Below are 20,926 nucleotides of genomic sequence, written 5' to 3' on the forward strand. Positions count from 1 at the left end.
TTTTCTCTGTATTCTTTGCTGTACTAAATCTTAGTTATGAATATAACTTGTGATTGGGTCTTGTAAGTCCTTCTGGTGAATCACCAAACATATCACTCCTATATTTCAACAACTTAAAATTCAGAGGAGAAGAGCAGGGTAGGTACTGGGGTAAAAAATTTAAGGGGTGGCCAGGCGCGGTTGCTCACGCCTGTAATCCCAGCCCTTTGGGAGGCCGAGGCAGGTGGATCACGAGGTCAGGAGATCGAGACCATCCTGCCTAACACGATGAAACCCTGTCTCTACTACAAAAATACAAAAAATTAGCCAGGCATCATGGCTGGCACCTGTAGTCCCAGCTACTTGGGAGGCTGAGGCAGGAGAATGGCGTGAAGCCGGGAGGCGGAGCTTGCAGTGAGCTGAGATAGTGCCACTGCCCTCCAGCCTGGGCGACAGAGCAAGACTCCGTCTAAAAAAAAAAAAAATTTTAAGGGGTAGCTGCCAAAACTCAGTAATCAACATAAATATTATGTTAATAAGTATTATATAAAAGTATTAAAACTCAGTGCAAAAAATACATGATGAACAAAATATCAAAAATTTAAATAAAGGTAAGATTTAATCCTGCACTTGTCATATCCTGACTTGCTTGCTGCACCCTAATCCCTGCCTGGGAGAAGAGACACATGTGAGCCTTTGAACTGTCAAAGCAGAGAGCAGCATCTTTAGCAAAGGTGCTGAAGGTTGCTAGATGTTTCTAAATAGTTACTACACTTTGCCCACTTTTGTTCCATCTCACTTAGTTCTTGCCCCCCGACCCCCAGTCAATCTCTGCCAGTGCATCAACTGTTTATGGAGTTGATAGGAACCCCTTTTAGGGATCTGCACCCTTTAGAGTCCTGCACGTAAGAGGTTTCTTTTTTTCCTCATGCAGAACATCTCTGTGTGTAACACAATCCTTGACAGGTTAAATATTATTGGGTAGGCAACCCCTGAATGCTAAGATGACTTAGCTTAAATGGATGTTGTAGTTATTGAAAGAGCCTTAGAGGTCTTCATAAACTTTATTTCTAAATTACTATTTATTTATACATTTTCAGAGAGATGGCCGTGCACAGCTAGATCCTGGGACTCTAATGATAGCTACATCTTCTAGTATTTACCAAGTCCAGTGCTAGGCACTTTAGATACAATATCACAAATTTGTCTGACAGTTGTTTAAACATAGGTGGTGTCCTCATTTTACAGAGAAGGAAACTAAGCCTCAAGGTGGTTATGGTACATTGCCACTAATAAGAGGCAGACCTGGGGCTCAACCTGCAGTTGTCTGACTCTATAGATGGCAAAAACTTACTGAAGATGCTCTTTTGGGAGATGGATCAAGCACTGTGTTTTATGAAGTTGAACAGAGAGAAGTTGGGAACGTGATTCTCCAGGCACCAACATCTTCCTCAAAAGTATTGTTTACCTTATTGTCCCTACTTGGTCCTTGAAGAAACAGAGTGTGTGACCCTTGCTTCCAATCTTGTCCTCTTTCTAGCATACCACGGTATCACCTCTTTGATATTATTTTAATTCCTGTACCTACTTGAAGGAGCATGCTGTTGAAATGACTTTTATAATCTCAGCAAGAGCCCTACAGTTCATAAACATAAGGGCACAAGCTTCCTCCCACTTTATGTGATAGCTCAGTCTAGCAGATGGGTTTTCCTGAATTATTCATTTGTGACTAATTTGTTTAGTAGCATCTATGTACTCATATCCCATCTCTCTTATGAGTGAACCTAAGTGCTTTGGCAAACTATTTTATTCTATAATCAAAGAATGAAAGATGGAGTCAACTTTTGATGGTTGGCTTATATTTAAGCAGTTGCCCCAAACTTGCTAATTCTTGGTTTCTCTTTCCCTACTCCATAGACATACACCAACCATGAGTTGTGTATCCAAATCTCATCTTGAGTTGTAGCTCCGATAATTCCCATGTGTCATGGGAGGGACCTAGCAGGAGGTAATTGAATCATGGGGGCGGGTCTTTCCTGTGCTATTCTCGTGATAGTGAATAAGTCTTATGAGAACCTGATGGTTTTATGAAGGGGAGTTCCCCTGCATGCACCCTCTTGCCTGCCATCATATAAGACATCCCTTTGGTTCTCCTTTGCCTTCCACCATGATTTTGAGGCCTCCCTGGTCATGTGGAGCTGTGAATCAATTAAACCTCTTTCCTGTGTAAATTACCCAGTCTCAGGTGTGTCTTTATTAGCAGCATGAGAACGGATTAATACAATGGGTCTACAACCAAAGTTATTCACTTTGGGGATCCACTGATAGGCTTCAGACGGTCACTGAATATCCTAGTATTATCTCACATTTTAGTTTATGTGCCTATGTTCTTTTGTCCGGATGGAGACGGTTCATAGCCTTTATTAGATTTTAAGAGGGTCTATAAATCCAATTTATGAACAACTTACAAGAGAATGCAGTTTAATATTCTGGTTACAAAGACCAGACAAAGTTTTGGGTCCCCCATCTGGAAGAAACCACAGGAATGATCTTATTCACCACAATTAATCTTCCTGAAACATGGTGTGATGTCCTAGATGAAAACACTAAGGAGTACAGCAGGAAGGAACAAGCTCCCCTTATTTATTACCTGGAATTTGCTTAGGCTCTTCTTTGCCCTAGAACTAGGACATAACTTCAGCCACTGCTTATATTGCATCCCTGCCAGATGTTCATTCAATCTCTGCATGAAAACTTCAGCAACCAGGGATGGCCCATAATCTGCCATGGTCCTAGGTCAGTGTATATAGCTTTGTTTGTTTTAGTTTTTTCAAGTTCTATTTTATTGATGTTTTATATACTTTGAAAATAATTGAAATGAGCTAGAATCAAGGGGAAGAAAAAATAATGAAACCATTCAAGGATGTTGCAGTGTGGGGGTGGCTGATAGGGAGTGCCAGGAAACTGCTGGTAAGGGAGATTACTGTGTTTGAGCAGAGGAGGCAATCCTGAGATTCTTGGCGGCCATGGCAAAAAGAGAAGCCCAAGGGATTCCCTAACTTTTCTGATCCAATGCAGAGAAGAGAGCCATGCTTTCAAGGGAGGTGAGTATTCTCCTAACTCTTGTGTTCTGGGAGAAATTATCATAAAGCTTTTTATACAATGTACATTTAAAAGGGTATAATGGACAAGTGGCTCTTTGCCAGATGTTTTATCAGAAATGTAAGACATTTCTTGTAAGAAGCCTTAATAGGAACTGAACTCTAGGTTTTATTTTTTAAAATAATAAAGGACACACAGTACTTAACTGCTTCAATAAGTCAGTTTTCAGTTGCGCTGTCCCAGATAAAAGAGAGGAGCACATTTATGGAGGTAGTCCTCAAAAAAGTGCATTTGATTTTTCTTGACCCACCAGGAAAACAGTGGATGTTCACGGACACCTTCCTAGTCAGTTCTATGAAAAAAAAAAAAAAAGGAAATTTATAGGAACATGTCTTTTTGGCTGGCCATCCAAACCTGCCTCCTCTGGTTCTAGTGACTTTCCTTGCAGGTCACTGTGAGGTAAGACCAGGGGAGAGTTTCAGAGGTGTCATGGCTTAACTGCAGCTCTGGAGGCAATGTAGAAGTGGGGACCTCACTGACCCTGACAGTGCTGCTCAGATACCAAATCCTGCAGTCTGAGTCACAAGAGGTAAACGATTTGTAATACTCTCTCTTTAGGATCTCCTCCTCCTTTTTGTATCTTTTGCATAGAAAATTGATATTCTTTGTCAAATGAAGTCAGTATTACAAATTTTTCTGGAGGTTTTCAAATTATATCTAAATTGATCCAGGTATGAATCTGTCAAAGATATGATTACGATGTACAAAACGTTTAGAAGTAGAGTCATTTGTATAATGTGACATAAATGGTCTCAAGTTTTTTTTTTTTTAAATTCATAACCAGGATGCTAAGTTACTAATATTCAATGATAAATTGAATCCTCAATAAAACTTCTTGAGATATGAGTATCCACATTATAATCAGAGGCTTGTTGGGTGACCCTGGAATTAGAATATGGAAGTGTAATCATCTTAATGGTTTAATTTGTTTTCTAATAGCTGCCTGGCAGAAAATTCAGATTTGAGATCTTTAGTGATCTCTGGAATGCAGGATCTATCAATTCAAAAGAGATACATATCCATTAGAGACCAGTTAGATATAATTGTTTATAAATGTCCTCTCTCCCCAGCTTATTGAGGGCACTTCCATCCCCATACAGAATTGAGACCAAGCAGGGCCATGCCTTTCCTCAAAAGCATAGCTTGAATTGGTTCAAGAGCATAGACACAAAATCAGTTGAGAACTCAGAGTCTTGTGTCATCATAAAATGGAGTAAAAACTGTTGAGTGGCAGCAGCTACCAAACAATATCAGCAGCAGCAGGAATAAAACCAGAAAATTATACTGAACTGGAGAGAAACTTGCCCTGAATCAGGTTGGTACCAGGACAGAATCAGGAGGAGAGGCTGAGCTGGCAGTGGGATGCAGGGAAAAAACAGAAGCATTCATTCATTCATTCATGCACTCACTCATTCATCACACACATCATGAGTATTTTCTATCCACTTGGGATTCTTCTAGTCACTGAGCTTTCAAATCAGACATGACCTCCTTCAGGTGCTTGGACTAGTATGAGAAAAATACATGAAGATCTGAGTTAAACAGAGAAAGGCTTGGAGCAGTAGATTGGGTCAAAATTATGGAGAAACTTGAATGCCAGCCTTAAATACAATGGTTTAGCCTTGATTCTATAGGCAATGGAGGGGGAGGACATCACATGTTAAAAAAGGATGCCATACAGGGAGCTGTGCACAAATCTGGAGAACAGAGATATGGTGCTAAGTTGAGGGTGAGGAGGGGGCATTGCAATTGTCTAAGTAAAAAAGTATTTATAGATGGAACTAGAAGTAGGAATGACATTGCTAAAGGAGAGAGGTAGAATGGGAAATGGATTGAACCAAAAAGATAGATATCCAAAACGGATATATTTGACTATAACAGGAGACAAGCCAGAGGAGAGCATAGGGAGGGATGAGAGATAAAGTCAAAAGAGAAGAAAATTTCCAGAATATAGAAGCTCATTAGTTAATGGTGCTTCTGTGTAGCTAAGGAATCAAGAATTGAGAAATGGCTATTTAAATTAGGTGCAGGGAGATCCTTGGTGACTTTAGAGAGGACAGAAAGATAAATAGATAAATAGATGAGGGAATGAGTGGAAAATGAGAATTGGAAACTGCAAATATATTCTACTCTTTTAACAATTACACCATGAAATGAAGGAGAGTAGCCTGGGAGAACACCAGATATGTTCATCAGAATTTTTTGGGTTGCAAGTGACAGAGAAACCAACCCAGAGTTTACATAGCTGAAGAATCTATGGGGATAGTGTAGGCTTCAGGCATGGATAGATTCAGGGTGCAGTCAATGCCATTAGTACTCTTGGCTTGACTCTGTTTTCTTCTGTGTGGTAGATTCGTTTTCAGGTTTTACATGGTGACAAGCTGTAGTAGCTTCAGACTCATATCTTCCCAAATTCAAATCCAGTGATATCAAAGGAGAAGGTTATTTACCTAGCTGCTTAAGCAAAGTCCTGAAATTAGCTCTGGTTTGACTTGGATTGGCTTGACTGGAGTCAAGGGTCCATTTCTGATGGGGATGGAGTTCACTGGTTGGTGTAGGCCTGGAGATGGAGCCCTAAGGAAGTACATGGGATAAGAATGCAAAAGGGAGTGGTTCCTTGGAGGAAAATCAGAGTACTATTAATAGAGAATGGATGCTGGGTGCCAAAAAGAAGTGTCTAAACTCCAAGTTTTAAAGAGAGTAACTGATGGATAGAGGCCTGAAGCAGAAGGTAGGGAATGCAATCAAGCTGCATGGATGAAACTGATTTTGAAAGGAGGAAGCATTCTCACTTCCGAAATGGGAGTGAAGGAGAAGATAATAAAAGATGATATGTAGACAATTGGACATCTAAGTCAGGTAAGTTGAGGGAGCATATGTTAAATAACTTTAATTTTCAAGTAAAAATCCAAATGAGGGAATATGTAGTGTTATTTTAAAAAATAATTTAAATATATTGCACCAGCTATATTACAGAAAATACTTAGAAATTGAAAATAAAATTCTGCAGCTAGCATATCCAATGTTTTCATTCTTTACACTGCAGACATAATCTTTACAAAGCTTAAGCATGCATTTTGCTTTAAATTATTCTTTATAACTTTTTTTTTGCTTGCATCCTATTTCATGGAGTAGATGTATCAGAATTTACTTAGCCTTTTTACTTAAAGACATTGAGATTGCTTTCATTTTTTAAAACTAGATATAGTGCTACAAATATTATTATATATGAAACTGTTTTTTTTTCCTTGAGGTATTTCTGTACCGAAAGTTCCCAGGAATGGGGTAATTGTGTAAAACGGAATAAGCATTTTGTGTCTCCTACATATGTTTGCAAAATCGCCTTTCATAAGGTATGGAAAATTGCCAATGCCCCCGGCCATGTAAGAAAGTGCTAGTTTCCACCAAGTGCGGTGGCACATGCCTGTAATCCCATTACTTTGGGAGGCCAAGGTGGATGGATCACTTGAGGCCAGGAGTTTGAGACCAGTCTGGCCAACATGGTGAAACCCCATCTCTACTAGAAATACAAAAATTAGCTGGGCATGTTGGTTCTTGCCTGTAATCCCAGCTACTCGGGAGGCTGAAGTAGGAAAATAGCTTGAACCCAGGAGGCGGAGGTTGCAGTGAGCTGAGATGGGGAGATCATGCCACTGCTGTCCAGCCTGGGTGACCTTGCAAGACTCCATCCCCCCACCCCCGAAAAAAAAAGAACAAAGTACTAGTTTCATAACTTGCTGAATATTTTAGACATTTTATTCCATTAATATTTTTAAGATAACTAACATAACACAGTAAGCACTTAATGCCAGGATGGGTCTAAACACCTGAGTCATGTTAATTCATTTAATTATCACACCAACCCTATGAGGGGAAAATTTATTATGATTCATGTATAAATAGGAAAACTAAGATATAAACAGATTAAATACACTACTCAAGGCGCTACAGCTAGGAAGTGCTAGAAGCAGTATGTGAATCATGGGAACCTGAATCCCGAGCCTGCGTGCTCAACCACTAGGCAATATTGCTTTGTGATAGCTTTTGGTTAGCATTTCCTCAAGTATTGTTTAAACTTGTATACACTTTTTTTTTTTTTTTTTTTTTGAGACGGAGTCTCACTCTGTCGCCCAGGCTGGATGGAGTGCAGTGGCGCGATCTTGGCTCACTGCAAGCTCCGCGTCCTGGGTTCATGCCATTCTCCTGCCTCAGCCTCTCGAGTACCTGGGACTACAGGCGCCCGCCACCACGCCTGGCTAATTTTTGTATTTTTAATAGAGACGGGGTTTCACTGTGTTAGCCAGGATGGTCTCTATCTCGTGACCTTGTGATCTGCCCGCCTTGGCCTCCCAAAGTGCTGGGATTACAGGCGTGAGCCACCGCGCCCGGCCTGCAACTTGTATACATTTTTGTAAGAATTTCAGAATGTCTTTCTCTGAAAAGAGTCTTTCTTGATGGTTTTGCCCCAGTGTAGAGATAATAGTGGGAAAATACTTATGGACTTGGATACCTCAGATGGTCTGAATGGGGAGATTTATTAATAAGTCATACATTTTTTAACCCTTTGTAAAGTTGTATGTAAAGTTGTTGTATGTAAAGTACAACATACTTGTATGTAGAGAATTATATTGGTAAGCATTAAAAATAAATGTAGTTATTTCATCCACCCAGGACAGCCAGGCTTTTTTGAGGGACTCTGATGGTTCTATAATCTAATTCAACCCTGCTGGTTACCCTGGAAACATACCTTCTGGCTTTTCTTGAACATCTGAAATGTGGGTATTGTTTTGATGTGACAAGTTTCAGCCAGCTCCTGGGAAAGCAAAGAAATGGCATGAAGTTACAGTATTGGTGTCCTCTCTCTGTACCAAGCATGTTATTTGGTAACTTTTTAGGAGGCGTGTCTGAAATTCCAAGGACACCTGACACTTTACAGACTCTCCTGCTATGAACTTTTCTAACATTCCTTCAGGAATGTCACAATGATTGACATAAAATGATTGATAGAAAATGATCGTTACAGCGTTCCTGGGCTTTTTCATCCCATAGAACCAGGAGGTGGGTAAGAGATGGAGGCCACAACAGAATAGATGCTCAATAACAATATGAGCTGCATTTAAAGGACCTTGTGAAAGAGTACAGAGGGGCCCCAGTGGAACTCAGTATAAGAAGAGCTTATTGCAAAAATAGAAAAGAGTAAACAAATCTTTATAACTCTACTTGAGACGTGGAACGCATCCTGATCTAGCATTTTAAGTAAGGCTTATACATGTCTTTCTTTTAAGTCCTTCACTGCCAATCTTTGTGAAAGATTTGGAGCCAAAATATGAGAAAATATGCCAGAATCCCAATTGTTTTAATCTATTTCAAACTACTTTCAAAGGTTAGTTTTTGTTTTTCTTGTTTAGGAGTCAAAAGAAAATTAGTCACCCACAGGATCAACAGAACAGGACATCTCTCTCTAATATACCAATCATTTTGTTGGCATTAAATCTCTTGCCCTGCTACTCATGCACACACACACACACACACACACACACACACACACGTGAAGACATACTGTATTATAATTTTTCATGACCACACAGTGATAACAACTGATACATAAATTACTATTAGACAATTACGCATTTTGTTTTACCTTCAAAGACAATGAGCTCTAATCAAAAAGCCAGACAATAACACAGGTTGGCAAGGATGTGGAGAAATCAGAGCTCTCATCCATTGCTGGTGAGAATGTAAAATGGTGCAGCTGCTTTAGAAAACAGTTTGCCACTTCCTCAGAAAGTTAAACACAGAGTTACCATATTACCCCAAAATTCCAATCCTGGATATATACCCAAGGGAAATGGAAATTTTGTTTACACAAAAATTTGTACACTAATGTTTATACTATATATTTTTTTTTTTTTGAGATGGAATTTCGCTCTTGTCGCCCTGGCTGGAGTGCAATGGTGCGATCTGGGCTCACTGCAACCTCTGCCTCCCAGGTTCAAGCGATTCTCCTGCCTCAGCCTCTCAAGTAGCTGGGATTACAGGTGTGCATCATCACGCCTGGCCAATTTTTGTATTTTTAGTAGAGATGGGGGTTCGCCACGTTGGCCAGGCTGGTCTTGAACTCCTGACCTCAAGCGATCCACCCATCTGGGCCTCCCAAAGTGCTGATATTACAGGTGTGAGCCACTGTGCCTGGCCAAAGTACTGATACATTCTATAATATGAATGCACCTTGAAAATGTATGCAGTGAAAGCAGCCAGAGATTAAAGACCACATATTCTATGATTCCCTTTATAGGAAATGTTCAGAATAAGCAAATCTATTTTGCTTACTGTGGATTTGTGGTTGCCTAGGATTGGGGGGTGGAGGATGGAGGGAATTGGGTGTAACTACTAAAGGGTACAGTGTTTCTTCTTAGAGTGATGAAAGTGTTCTAAAATTGATTGTAGTGATGATTGCACAACTCTGTGAATATAGAAAAGGTAAAGAGATAGTCATACTAGCTGTGTATTCTGAATTTATAGGTTATGATTCATCCTAAAGGGCAATTAAACACTCACACTTTAATGAAGCTTGAAGGAAATGGAGAAAGGGAACTTCTATTATGCTCTGGGCACCATGTCATTTATTTAATGTATTTTATCTCATTTTATCTTCGGTTAAGTGTTATTATCCTGTTTTACAAATGAAGAAACTGAAGTTTATGGAGGTTGAACTATAATGGGTCATAAAATCATTAAAGGGCAGAATGGTAGATATCACTTTTTTCATTCTAAAGCTCAAATGCATTCTAACATGTGGATAGACCACCTGTTGGTACCTCTCATCATTACAAATTAACAGATGTTTAAAATAATAATTTTGTAGAAACATTGTGTGTATTAATAAGACACACTTTGTTTGAGGTTATGGGGTTGATTATTTTTTGGGGGGATGGGATGAGGAAGGATGGCTCCAGAGACAGGAAGAAGGGATTTCTGGGAATTTCTTATGATGCTTCAAAAAAACACACAAAAAGCGTAAGATATTGCAAGAGAAAAGCAAAATATATTAAGATGTCTGTAATGCACTGAGGTAGGTTTTAGAAGTTGATTAACAAGGCTGGATGCAGTGGCTCACGCCTGTAATCCCAACACTTTGGGAGGCTGAGGCAGGTGGATCACCTGAGGTTGGGAGTTCAAGACCAGCCTGACCAACACGGAGAAACCCTGTCTCTAATAAAAATACAAAATTAGCCGGGCGTGGTGGCACATGCCTGTAATCCCAGCGACTCGGGAGGCTGAGGCAGGAGAATCACTTGAACCCAGTAGGCGGAGGTTATGGTGAGCCAAGATCACGCCATTGCACTCCAGCCTGGGTAACAAGAGTGAAACTCTGTCCCCCACCCCCCAAATAAAGAAATTGATTAACAATCCATCACAGGGATGAAAACCATCTTTCACCTTGAGCTCAACTTTAACAGATTTCTATTGTCTCCCTAGAGCAACTCTGCTGAGGAGGATTCTGAGGCAGAACGCAGAGCAAGTGGTGAAGAAAACTGGGATTGATTAGTGAGGCCTGCCACAGCATAAGAGGGGAGAGGGGTATCAGGAGAGCTAATCTTTTTCTTGCTAATCTTTTTTTTTGTTTTTAAGTAATACAAAACATATAAGAGCATAATGAGGAAGTTTACTGTAGTTATTAGAAAAAATGTAAAATTCTAGTTGATTTTAAATTGGTCATGTATTAATAATTACTGAGACAGTGCTATTCAATTACAATGCCTTTGGATTTTGAGTATGTGCACAGAAGATTTAAGATTCTTACCGGAGAATTGTTCACATCCACATTAGCAAAAAATACATTTTGGTATTTCACAGACATAGCCTTCAAAATAAAAAATAAATATTTCCCATTAGTTTGGTGTTAATATTAAAATACACACTGGAAGTGTCTTTTCAGTAGAAAAGAAAATTGAACAGAAAGGCTGTTAAAGAGGACTAAGCATCATTCTGACATTTCACTACAGCCTAGAGCCTGAAGCATCAAGTCAAATACCAGATGATGCCAAGGTCAGATGATGTAAGGACCAGTGGCAGAAGCAGAGTCAAAGAACCAAACTGAAGATTAGAGTTTCAAGGTTGGCAAAGACATAACAGAATGTGCGTGGTGGATCCAGACTTACTTTGTGGGGTGGAGGAAGGGATAGTAGAGTAGCTTTCTCCTGGGAGAGCAGTTGGGGGAGTCTGTCTTCAGTGATCTTTGAGATACAGTTCTCCGAGCCAAACTCTACCTTCTCTTGCCTGGCATTTTGGGAGGTGCTGGTGCTACTGGTGCTAGAAGGCTGTTCTGCTTGAAGCGATGTCAACATTTTAATGCTGACCATTAGCCTAATTTATTTGCACTCCTGTTGCCGTCTCTCTGTGCTCTACTATGTGTGGAAACTAGATTTTCCAGGTTCCATTGCTGGCTGACTTCCAATTAGCTTCTTCCAATGGGAAGTATTTGCAGGAAATGGAAGGGGAGGAGGGAAGAAGTAACTCCCTCCTACTTCTGTTTTGTTCTGGAATCATCTTTGGCAGTGACGGTGACCATGGTGCTGGTAGTGGGTCTAGGGGAAGAGGAAGTGGCAGCAGCCACAGCAGCAGCAGTGACAACAGTGGCCTGTAAATGTCAGCTCCTGGGTATCTTTTCAGACAGCTGTGTTCATACCTTAAGGACACTTGATGGCATTTTGAATTGTTTGCTTAAAATCATATCTCATGTATTTCTAGTCGCTTATTTCTGTTGATCTAACTCTAAAATGTTTCCTGAATTTTGATCTTTCCTTTTTCTCTGAAAGTCACTGCTCTAGTTTTGGAAAAACCTATCATTACTGACATTCACTCTGGGTTTCCTGCTTTTAGACTTTCCAATCTATTCTTGTGCAACCTCCAAAAATATTTTCTATATGCCACATTTGATTGTGGCAAAATCCTTCCTAAAATTGTCCTATTGGACTCTCCACAGCAGTTTGTTAAGTTATAACACAAGATCCTACTTGATCTGGCCTCAGCTTCCTTTTTGAGGCTCATTTTTTGCCACTTCCATTGCACACTATATGTAAGCCTCACAGACTACATATTGCCTTCCCCCGATCACATCATACAATTTCTCAACAAAATTTTAGCCTCTCCTTTTCCAGAAATGTTCTTTTCAGGGATCTATGCCTAGTGATCCTCTTAGCCCAGGATCAGCAAACTATGCCCTGTGGACCAAATCCATCCCTCTACCTGTTCTTTTAAATAAAGTTTTATTGGAACTAGTTGCCCATCTGTTTTTGTGTTGTCACTGGATTTTGCACTACAGCAGCAAAGTTGAGTAACTGTGACAGAGATCATATGGCCTGCAAAGCTGAAAATGTTTTCTATCTTGTCTTTTACAGGAAAAGTTTGTTGACCCCTGCTCTTGCATAATTTCAATCACTTCTTAAAACCCACATTTTCTTATGATTCACTGTTTTTTTTTTCTTGTTGTAATACATCCATTAGCAATTTCTTCAGAGAGATTCTGTGGTTAGTAAACTTTTAGTTTTTGTGTGTCTGAAAATGTCTTGAATTCTTTCCCTCTCTTGAATAATGGTTTTGCTAACTAACTTCCATTTCACCATCCTGGAGAGCCTGGAAAGGAAAAGTGGTGAAGATTTCTTTGCCTCCCTTGCAGCTAGAGTTCTGGATGCAAATTTCATTTTACTAGTCAGATGCATGCCAGTGTAAATGAGACAGAAGCTATTTTCTTCTTCTTTTTTGGTGGAAAGTGAGGTCATGGGTACTGGTTGTGCTAGAGGCAAGCAGTGGTGGCAGCCAGACTCAGGGTCCAGAAATTAACTTCTTAGATGTCCAGAGGCCATGGTGGCTGTAGTAGCTGCCTAATTCTGCTTCTGACTCTGACCGCTGCTCTGTTGGTGGTTCTTTAACTCCCAATCATGGCCTCCCGTTTCCCATGACTTCTGGTTATGGCAATGTTAGAATCTCCACAGGTGGGTCTGTGGTGCTCTGAAGAGTGGTTCGTGGAGTTTCTGTCCCAAGCCCATTCACCCAGTCTTCTGATGATTTTATGAGCATTTAATTCCTTGTATTAAAATCCTTTTCTAATTTGGTTCTAATGTGGTTTATGTTTCTTGCTTTGATCTCTGACTGATACAGTCATCTAACCTTTTTGATACCAGGGACCAGTTTCATGGAAGACATTTTTTTCCCCAGACTGGGGGTGGGGGGATGGTTTCAGGATGAAACTGTTCCACCTCAGATCATCAGGTATTCGATTCTCATAAGGAGGGTGCAACCTAGATCCCTCGCATGTGCAATTCACAATAGGGTTTGCACTCCTATGAAAACCTAATGCTGCCGCTAATATAACAGGAGGCAGAGCTCAGGAGGTAATGCTTACTCGCTGGCCGCTCACCTCCTGCTGTGTGGCCAGTTCCGAATAGGCCATGCACCTGTGGAGTGGTACTGATCCATGGCTTGGGGGTTGGGGACCCCTGATCTAGGGTAAGTAAAGTCTTCCTCCAACCCCCTCATATACTATGAGTTAAAAAAAATTACACACATAATACAGGAATGTCTTCTTTTGCAAAAGTTCAAACATTACAAGAAAAAACTGGTTATGGCGAAGTTAGAATCTCCACAGGTGGGTCTGTGCTGTTCTGAAGAGTGGTTAAAAAACTGAACACTAGATATTCTGTGGCAAAGTCAAGGAGATCCTCTTTCCTAAGTCTTGAGTGTCAGCATGGTAGGACCTGTCAGAAACTAAAATGTTCCCTCAGAATATTCTTCATTTTTTATTTTTAAATACAGACAGGGTTTCACTATGTTGGCCAGGGTGGTCTGGAACTCCTGGCCCCAAGCAATCCTCCCTCTTTGTCCTCCCAAAGTGCTGAGATTACAGGCATCAGCCACCATGGCTGGCCTCCCTTCTAGATATTCTAAGAATTTTAGGCGGATAAGGGATGTTGTGATGTTATGTAGCCAGTTTCTCTATTGGAATATAAGTTCATTTTGAATTAAATATCAAAGATTGTGACTGTGGTTAAAATTAACTCAGGCTGTGACTGAGGCTCAGGTGGATTAAAAAAAGTAGAAATGTTAGAAACCTTGCTAAAAATAAACCAGAGTATTTTTAGCTGTATAGTCTTTACATTTGAAGGAATAAACTTTACAAAAGTGACCATAAAAACATGTAAAGTTTTATACAATAAGGAAAAATGAGAAAAAGTGCCCTGAGATTCTTTCTGCTGTATGTTATACCAAAAATAAATATATAAAATGTTAAAAACTGTTATGTAGGATATTACAGAAATTAACCAGATAAAATATTGTATAGATATTAAAAGATTCATTTGGAGACTATGAAAACATGAACCAATGTGTATGTGGGAAAAAGATTTGAATATAAATATATGATTACAACTCACTAGAATATTTTACAAAGTAAATCAAGGACAAGAAAGGAACATGCAAGGCGTATTATTCGCCTCATTGCAATAACATGTATGGACCTGGAGGACATCATGCTAAGTGAAACGAGTGAGTCACCATAGAATAAATACTGCATGATTCAATTTTTATGAAGTATGTAAAATATAGTCAACTTAGAGAAGCAGAAAATATAATGGAGGTTGCCAGGGAACAGGGAAGGAGTAAATGAGTTGTTTAATGGGTGTAAAGATACAGTTGTACAGGATGATAAGTTCTAGAGATCTGATATACCAGGCATCCTCAATCCCAGGGCCAGTCTACAGCCTGTTAGGAACCAGGCTGCACAACGGGAGGTGAGCGGTGGGTGAGCTGTCATTACTGCCTGAGCTCTGCCTCCTGTCAGATCAGCGTGGAATTAGATCCTCATAGGAGCAAGAACCGTATTCTGAACTGTGCATGTGAGGGAGCTAAGTTGCGCTACTTATGAGAATCTTAATACCTGATGATCTGAGGCGGAACAGTTTCTTCCTGAAACCATCCCGGCACCCCCTACCCTAAGCCCTAGTCCATGGAAAAATTGTCTTCCACAAAACTGGTCCTGGTGTCAAAAAGGTTGGGGACCACTGTGATATACAACATAGTGCTTAGAGTTAACATTAGGGTGTTGCACACTTAAAAATTTAGTGTAGATTCCATGTTAAGTGTTCTTATCACACATACACACACACACAAAAGCAGATGTACACAAGGTTTCATTTGGAGGTGATGGATTTTGATTGTGGTGATAATATCATGGGTGTATACATATGTCCCAACATCAATTGTATACATTAAATAAACAGATTTTGTTTATTTAACAATTATACCTCAATAAAGATATTTAACAATTATATATCAATAAAGCTGTAGGAAAAATAACAAAGACATATGGTTTGTTCTGATAATAAGGTTGAAGAATTGGGAGAAATTTATTCTTTTATGTTATATTTAAAAACAAATATCATATTTATCTGTATTCTAATCCAGTGTTTGAAAGTTCTGAACTCTTGAAACTTTGGTAAAATGTCATTGCTATAATATGAAGAATCCATTAATTTGTACAATTGGACTCCTTTGCACATCTTGGGATGTTCTTGCAGAATTACCTGTGGACAAGTAGTATTAATCTTCTGGTGTGTACACTTATTATCTAATTAGATCTCGGTATATTATCTTCAGTTAATCAGGGTGCTTCAAAAATCTATGGCTCCAGAATGGCTCATAATTGCCAAACTTTTAAGAATTACTGGGAAAAATATTCTGGAACTTTAAATTTCTTCTGAAACTATGAGATATATACTGGTTGTACTCACATGGAAAACAGGAAACATCCTTTTGCAGGGACCACACCGTTTCGAAGAAAATTGAACCACTGCGAGTTTGTGTCCGGCAGCTGTCAAAAATGTTTTAAATTCATTCTGAAAACAGAAAATAAATGAGGAAATGTGCATAATCACTGAATCTCATGACATTTTGTAGAGAAGAAGATGACAGATTAGTTTTGGTTTTGTTTTTGGTTTTTTTAAAGCCAGGTTATCACTATGCTGCCCAGGCTGGTCTCAAACTCCTGGGCTCAAGTGATCCTCCTGCCTCAGCTTCCCAAAGTGCTGGGATTACAGGTGTGAGCCACCTTATCTGGCCATGTTAGTTCTTAAAAACCTTAACCAGGTGTACCATGCCATTGTTCTCTAGCTGACCCCACCTTAAATGTCCCTCATGTCAAATATATTTCTCTTTGTAAGTACATAAAAATCATGGAAGTCTATGCACCAAAAAGGTTGGTAATGGAAGTTGATAACGGTGGTTACCTCTGAGGAGAAACAGGTTGGCCAGGGAGGGATGGGGGCTGGAGGGTGGAGGTGAACTGCTGTTCAGGGTGGATATCTATAATACTGGATTTTTATTAAACAAGGGCCTAAACATGCATGACTAGTGAACTTTAAAAGGAGAAGAATTAATCTCACACCTTGAGTAATTTCTTGTTTTTTGGGGGGGAAGTGATCATTATTACAGCTACAGTTAAAACTATACATTTAAGGATTTGACATGCTTATTGCTGAATGTCAAGTGAATTTCCCATCAACTGTTTGTATCATCTAAGTAAATAAAGGTTTCCCTTCCTGGGACTCAGATGACTGCATCTATATTTGCTTGCTTTATGACAAGTGACTGGTCCTACACTAGTTATTTCATGCATGATTGATCTCCCCAAGTCCTTACAGGATTTAATCTTGATTCATTCCTGTACCTCCCATGATCCCTAACTGACACATAAGTGCTCATAGTGTACTCATAGAGTAAGTGCTCATAGAGTGTTTTCTTTATTTTTATTTTAATTTAATTTTATTTTTTGGTGACAGGGTCTGGCTGTTCATCCAGGCTGGGGTGTAGCGGTGCGATCTCAGCTCACTGCAGACTCTGCCTCCCGGACTCAAGCCATCCTCCCACCTCAGTCTCCCAAAGTGCTGGGATTACAGGTGTGAGCCACCCCGCCCAGCCTGCGTGTCTTCTTGATGAATGAATGATTTGCTAATACATAGTACTCTGTTCAAGACTTTTCCTTTTCTCACTGGAATTGCAACAATTGTAGCTAATTTACTCTGTGCCCTATATTCTCTCCCATAATCTTTACAACAACACTACAACGTGTGTACTATTATTATCTCCATTTTACAAATGAGAAAAGTGAAGTTCACTAACTTTATCATGATCAGTTAGCTGGTGAGTGGTGTAGCTGGCATTGGTATCCTAGGCAGCCTGACTCCAGTTCCTATTTCCTTAACCACTACAGAAAATCCACTCCTGAGTTCATTATAGAATTAGGACTTATTCTCCCTTTCATTGGCCCTAATTGCATTGTGTGCTTATTCCTGGACCGAACATTAAGAGGAGGGGGATGGGATTGTTAATTGTATTAAGTCAAGCAAGGCCTATTCCCACTATGGATGGGTTTAATCCATACAAATGACATGTGATACAGTTTGGCTGAGTCCCCACCCAAATCTCATCTTGAATTGTAGCTCCCATAATCCCCACATGTCATGGGAGAGACCTAGTGGGAGGTAAATGAATTATGGGGGTGGGTTTTTCCCATGCTGTTCTCATGACAGTGAGTCAGTCTAAAAATATCTGACGGTTTTATAAAGGGCAGTTCCCCTGCACACGCTGTCTTGCCTGCCGCCATGTCAGACATGCCTTTGCCCCTCCTTCGCCTTCACCATGATTGTGAGGTCTTCCCAGCCATGTGGAACCGTGAGTTCATTAGATCTTTTTTTCTTTATAAATTACCAAGTATTGGGCATTTCTTCATAGCAGTATGCAAATAGACTAATACAACATGCCTGCTCTATAATAGCCTTGACAATTATGTGGCTACTTTGTTTAGTTTCAATCAGGTGAAAGTGATGACTCAAAGAAGATGCACTCTCTTTCTTTATCAATATTCCTCTGGGAGGGAGTAACTAACTTTTCAGAGAACCTTGCCAAGCCTTTATTTCTCACTTGCTTCTGAAGTTGTAAGGTAGATGCTATCCTCACAAACTCCCAACACTCTTCACTTTCCAGTAGTTGTTGTTTGGGTGTGAGCTGGCCTAATTGGACCCATGAACTTGACTTGACTAAACTATCTGAAGGGAATACTCTCATAGTATAGGTATTTATTTAACATATGCGTATTGAGGCCTATACTATGCCAGCTACTGCACAAACTGCTAGGATACCACTGTGGACAAAAACAAAACAAAACAAAACAAAAACTAGGCATTCTGTCTCCATGGAGTTTACATTTTAGAATGGGAAGCTTACTATAAGGTCAATAGGTAATATTTGTAGTATATTAGTGCTAATTGCTAATAAAGAAAATAAAAAGAAAATGAAGTAGGAAGGAAGAATGGGGGTTGGATTACAACTGTAGTCTGGATGGCCAAGGTCAACCTCAAAGAGAAGGTGGCATCTGAATAAAGATGGGATGGAGATCAGGGCCTCTGGAAAGGTCCCTGGGGAGGAGATGAAAGGTCTTCTGAGGGAATAAGGCTCCAGGCTATTCTGTGACATCCCCAGAATATTAAAACAATAAGTGTCAAAAGCATTAGCAAATGTGTGATGTTTCAAAACATGTTCTTATGTCGAAGTTACAGGGCAGTACTCTCTTTCAATCTGGTCAGTGTCATTTTTGTGATCTGTATAGCCACCTTTGGGGAAAATGTCACAAGTCTAAATCTGAGGCTGCTGGTGGACATGAGGCTCAGGCCCCAAACCCCCTCCCCTCCTCCAGCTCTTGACTTCTTGTAATGAGGGCAGGCATCAGAAGGTCTGGGTTCTAATGCCCACACCACCTCTTAAACGAACTAGCCCTGAACCTCTCTTTTAGAGGCAATTTTCTCCTTTATAAATCAAGAATTATCTCTGTCCTATACATGAATTTAGATTTGTTGTGACAGCAACATTGGGCTGTTCCCAATTTTCCCACCCCATTCCACATCTGGGGTTTCTATTATTTTTCCTTGGATAAGAGAAAAGATGTGGACTTCCTTACTTCCATGGAATTTTCCAAGCACAACTGAGGTACGATCCATGGGATCAGATACAGGATGGGATGTACTAGGAGCTGGTCTGGGATTCACCTGAAGTCAGGCAGGAAATAAAAGTCCAGGAGGAAGAAAGCCCTTCTTTATCAATTTGACCCTTGGCTGCTTTTCTTGATAGTACCATCCCTCAAGGAACAAGATAAAGAACAAGAATTTAGAACTCTCCCCTTGCTACAATGCAATGATAGAATACTGGATAGAGAGAACACATTCTTAAAGTTTTTCAAATCTGTTCCCAAGATGTCCACATTTGAAATACTCAGTGAAGCCAAATAAATACTTGCCGTGTCTTTAATAATCTGTACCATGATTACACCAGGGAAGTGCTGATGAAAATCCCCTGTTGGTTTAGTTGGATCACTGTAGCTGTCTCCTATTTATTACAGTATCCTGCCTGGAATACATGGATAACTTCTCTATGACATCATTAAACATGTCATCTCAGAACCTGGAACTTTGGCAGACTTTGGATCCTATTTCACTTTTATGCCATGACTAGTTCATTTGTGGACAGCCAAGAATCAGAAAACTGAGGGCTTTATATGCAGAATCAGTAATGTGTTTGCTTTATTTTCATCTTTTATAACCTATTTCTAAATATCCTTCTCCCTTCTCTAATCCCTCCATCCCATCACCAAATGAGAAGTAAGCAGAGTAATATTAAATAGATGAGATTTTCACTTAAGAATTTGAAGATTTTGCTGTTGAGAAAAATACTAAAGTCTTAACCCTATAATAATGAGTTTCCTGTAAGTTTGATTTCATGAGTCATAAATTCCCTGAACTTTGTTATTTTGCTCTAATTATTTAGAGAGTAAAGAAATGTCACTTTTATGCTCTAGATCAAGGGTTGGCAAATGTTTTCTCTAAGGGAACAGATACTATTTTAGTTTTATGGGCCTCATACAGTCTTTGTTGCATGTTCCTTATGTTTTTGCAACCTTTAAAAAATGTAAAAACCATTCGCAGCTAGTAGGATGTACAAAGAACAGCAGCAGTTTGCTGACCCCTGCACTTGATGATTTGCCATTTTCAGAACTGATGTCAGAAAAATTCTGAACATGACCATGGCCAATGTTCTTCAAATCTACAGAGCAACAAGAACAACCAAAATGAGAAATAGTAGATTCTATAATAAAACAAAAATAGCAAAATCCTTCTTTCTGTTTTTCTATATATGCAGCTCTGGGCCTTCAATCATGTGTTGCATGAAAACTGTCAGATGGAGACAGTGGCTGCCTCTGTAGAGGTATTTGAAGTATGCATGTAACAAAATATCACATGTACCCCATAAATACGTAGAAGTATTATGTATTGATATGGTTTGGCTGTGTCCCCACTCAAATCTCATCTTGAATTGTAGCTCCCATAATTCCCAAGGGTTGTGGGAGGGACCGGTGGGAGATAATTGAATAATGGGGGCAGTTCTTCCATACTGTTCTCATGGTAGTGAATACATCTCATGAGATCTGATGGTTTTATAAGACGTTTCCCCATTTGCTTGGCTCTCATTCTCTCTTGCCTGCTGCCATGTAAGACGTGACTTTCACCTTCTGCCAGAATTGTGAGGCCTCCCCAGCCACATGGAACTGTGAATCTATTAAACCTCTTTTTCTTTATAAATTACCTAGACTTGGGTATGTCTTTATCAGCAACGTGAAAAGAGACTAATACACGTATTAACAAAAAAATTTTTTTTATTATAGTTTAAGTTTTAGGGTACA

The 20,926-nt window shown here is 39.7% G+C and overlaps 1 protein-coding gene and 1 long non-coding RNA gene across 11 annotated transcripts in view; one reads left to right on the forward strand and one right to left on the reverse strand.

Moving 5' to 3' along the window:
- Positions 1–19,577, reverse strand: part of TXNDC8 (thioredoxin domain containing 8) — a 36,633-nt gene extending 17,056 nt beyond the window's left edge. For 6 of the 10 annotated variants that reach the window (XM_017014583.2, XM_017014579.2, NM_001364963.2 and 3 more), the window contains exons 1-4: positions 19,487–19,577; positions 15,930–16,034; positions 10,946–11,005; positions 7,889–7,954 (exon numbers count right to left, since the gene is read on the reverse strand). In XM_017014583.2, the coding sequence (XP_016870072.1) occupies positions 7,889–7,954; positions 10,946–11,005; positions 15,930–16,034; positions 19,487–19,510 (255 nt within the window). In that variant the 5' untranslated portion in view covers positions 19,511–19,577. Of the gene's footprint in view, positions 1–4,174; positions 5,716–7,888; positions 7,955–10,945; positions 11,006–15,929; positions 16,035–19,238; positions 19,320–19,486 lie in introns of those variants that run through there. The other 4 variants (XM_017014582.2, NM_001286946.2, XM_017014584.2 and 1 more) reach the window with 3 other exon arrangements.
- On the forward strand, positions 17,918–20,356 carry LOC124902245 (uncharacterized). Its single transcript, XR_007061728.1, has 2 exons — positions 17,918–19,951; positions 20,239–20,356. It is a non-coding gene; the product is annotated as an uncharacterized LOC124902245 (long non-coding RNA).
- Positions 20,357–20,926: the final 570 nt, after the last annotated feature.

Source organism: Homo sapiens, chromosome 9, assembly GCF_000001405.40.
Source record: "Homo sapiens chromosome 9, GRCh38.p14 Primary Assembly".
In the NCBI taxonomy this organism is placed as follows: domain Eukaryota; kingdom Metazoa; phylum Chordata; class Mammalia; order Primates; family Hominidae; genus Homo; species Homo sapiens.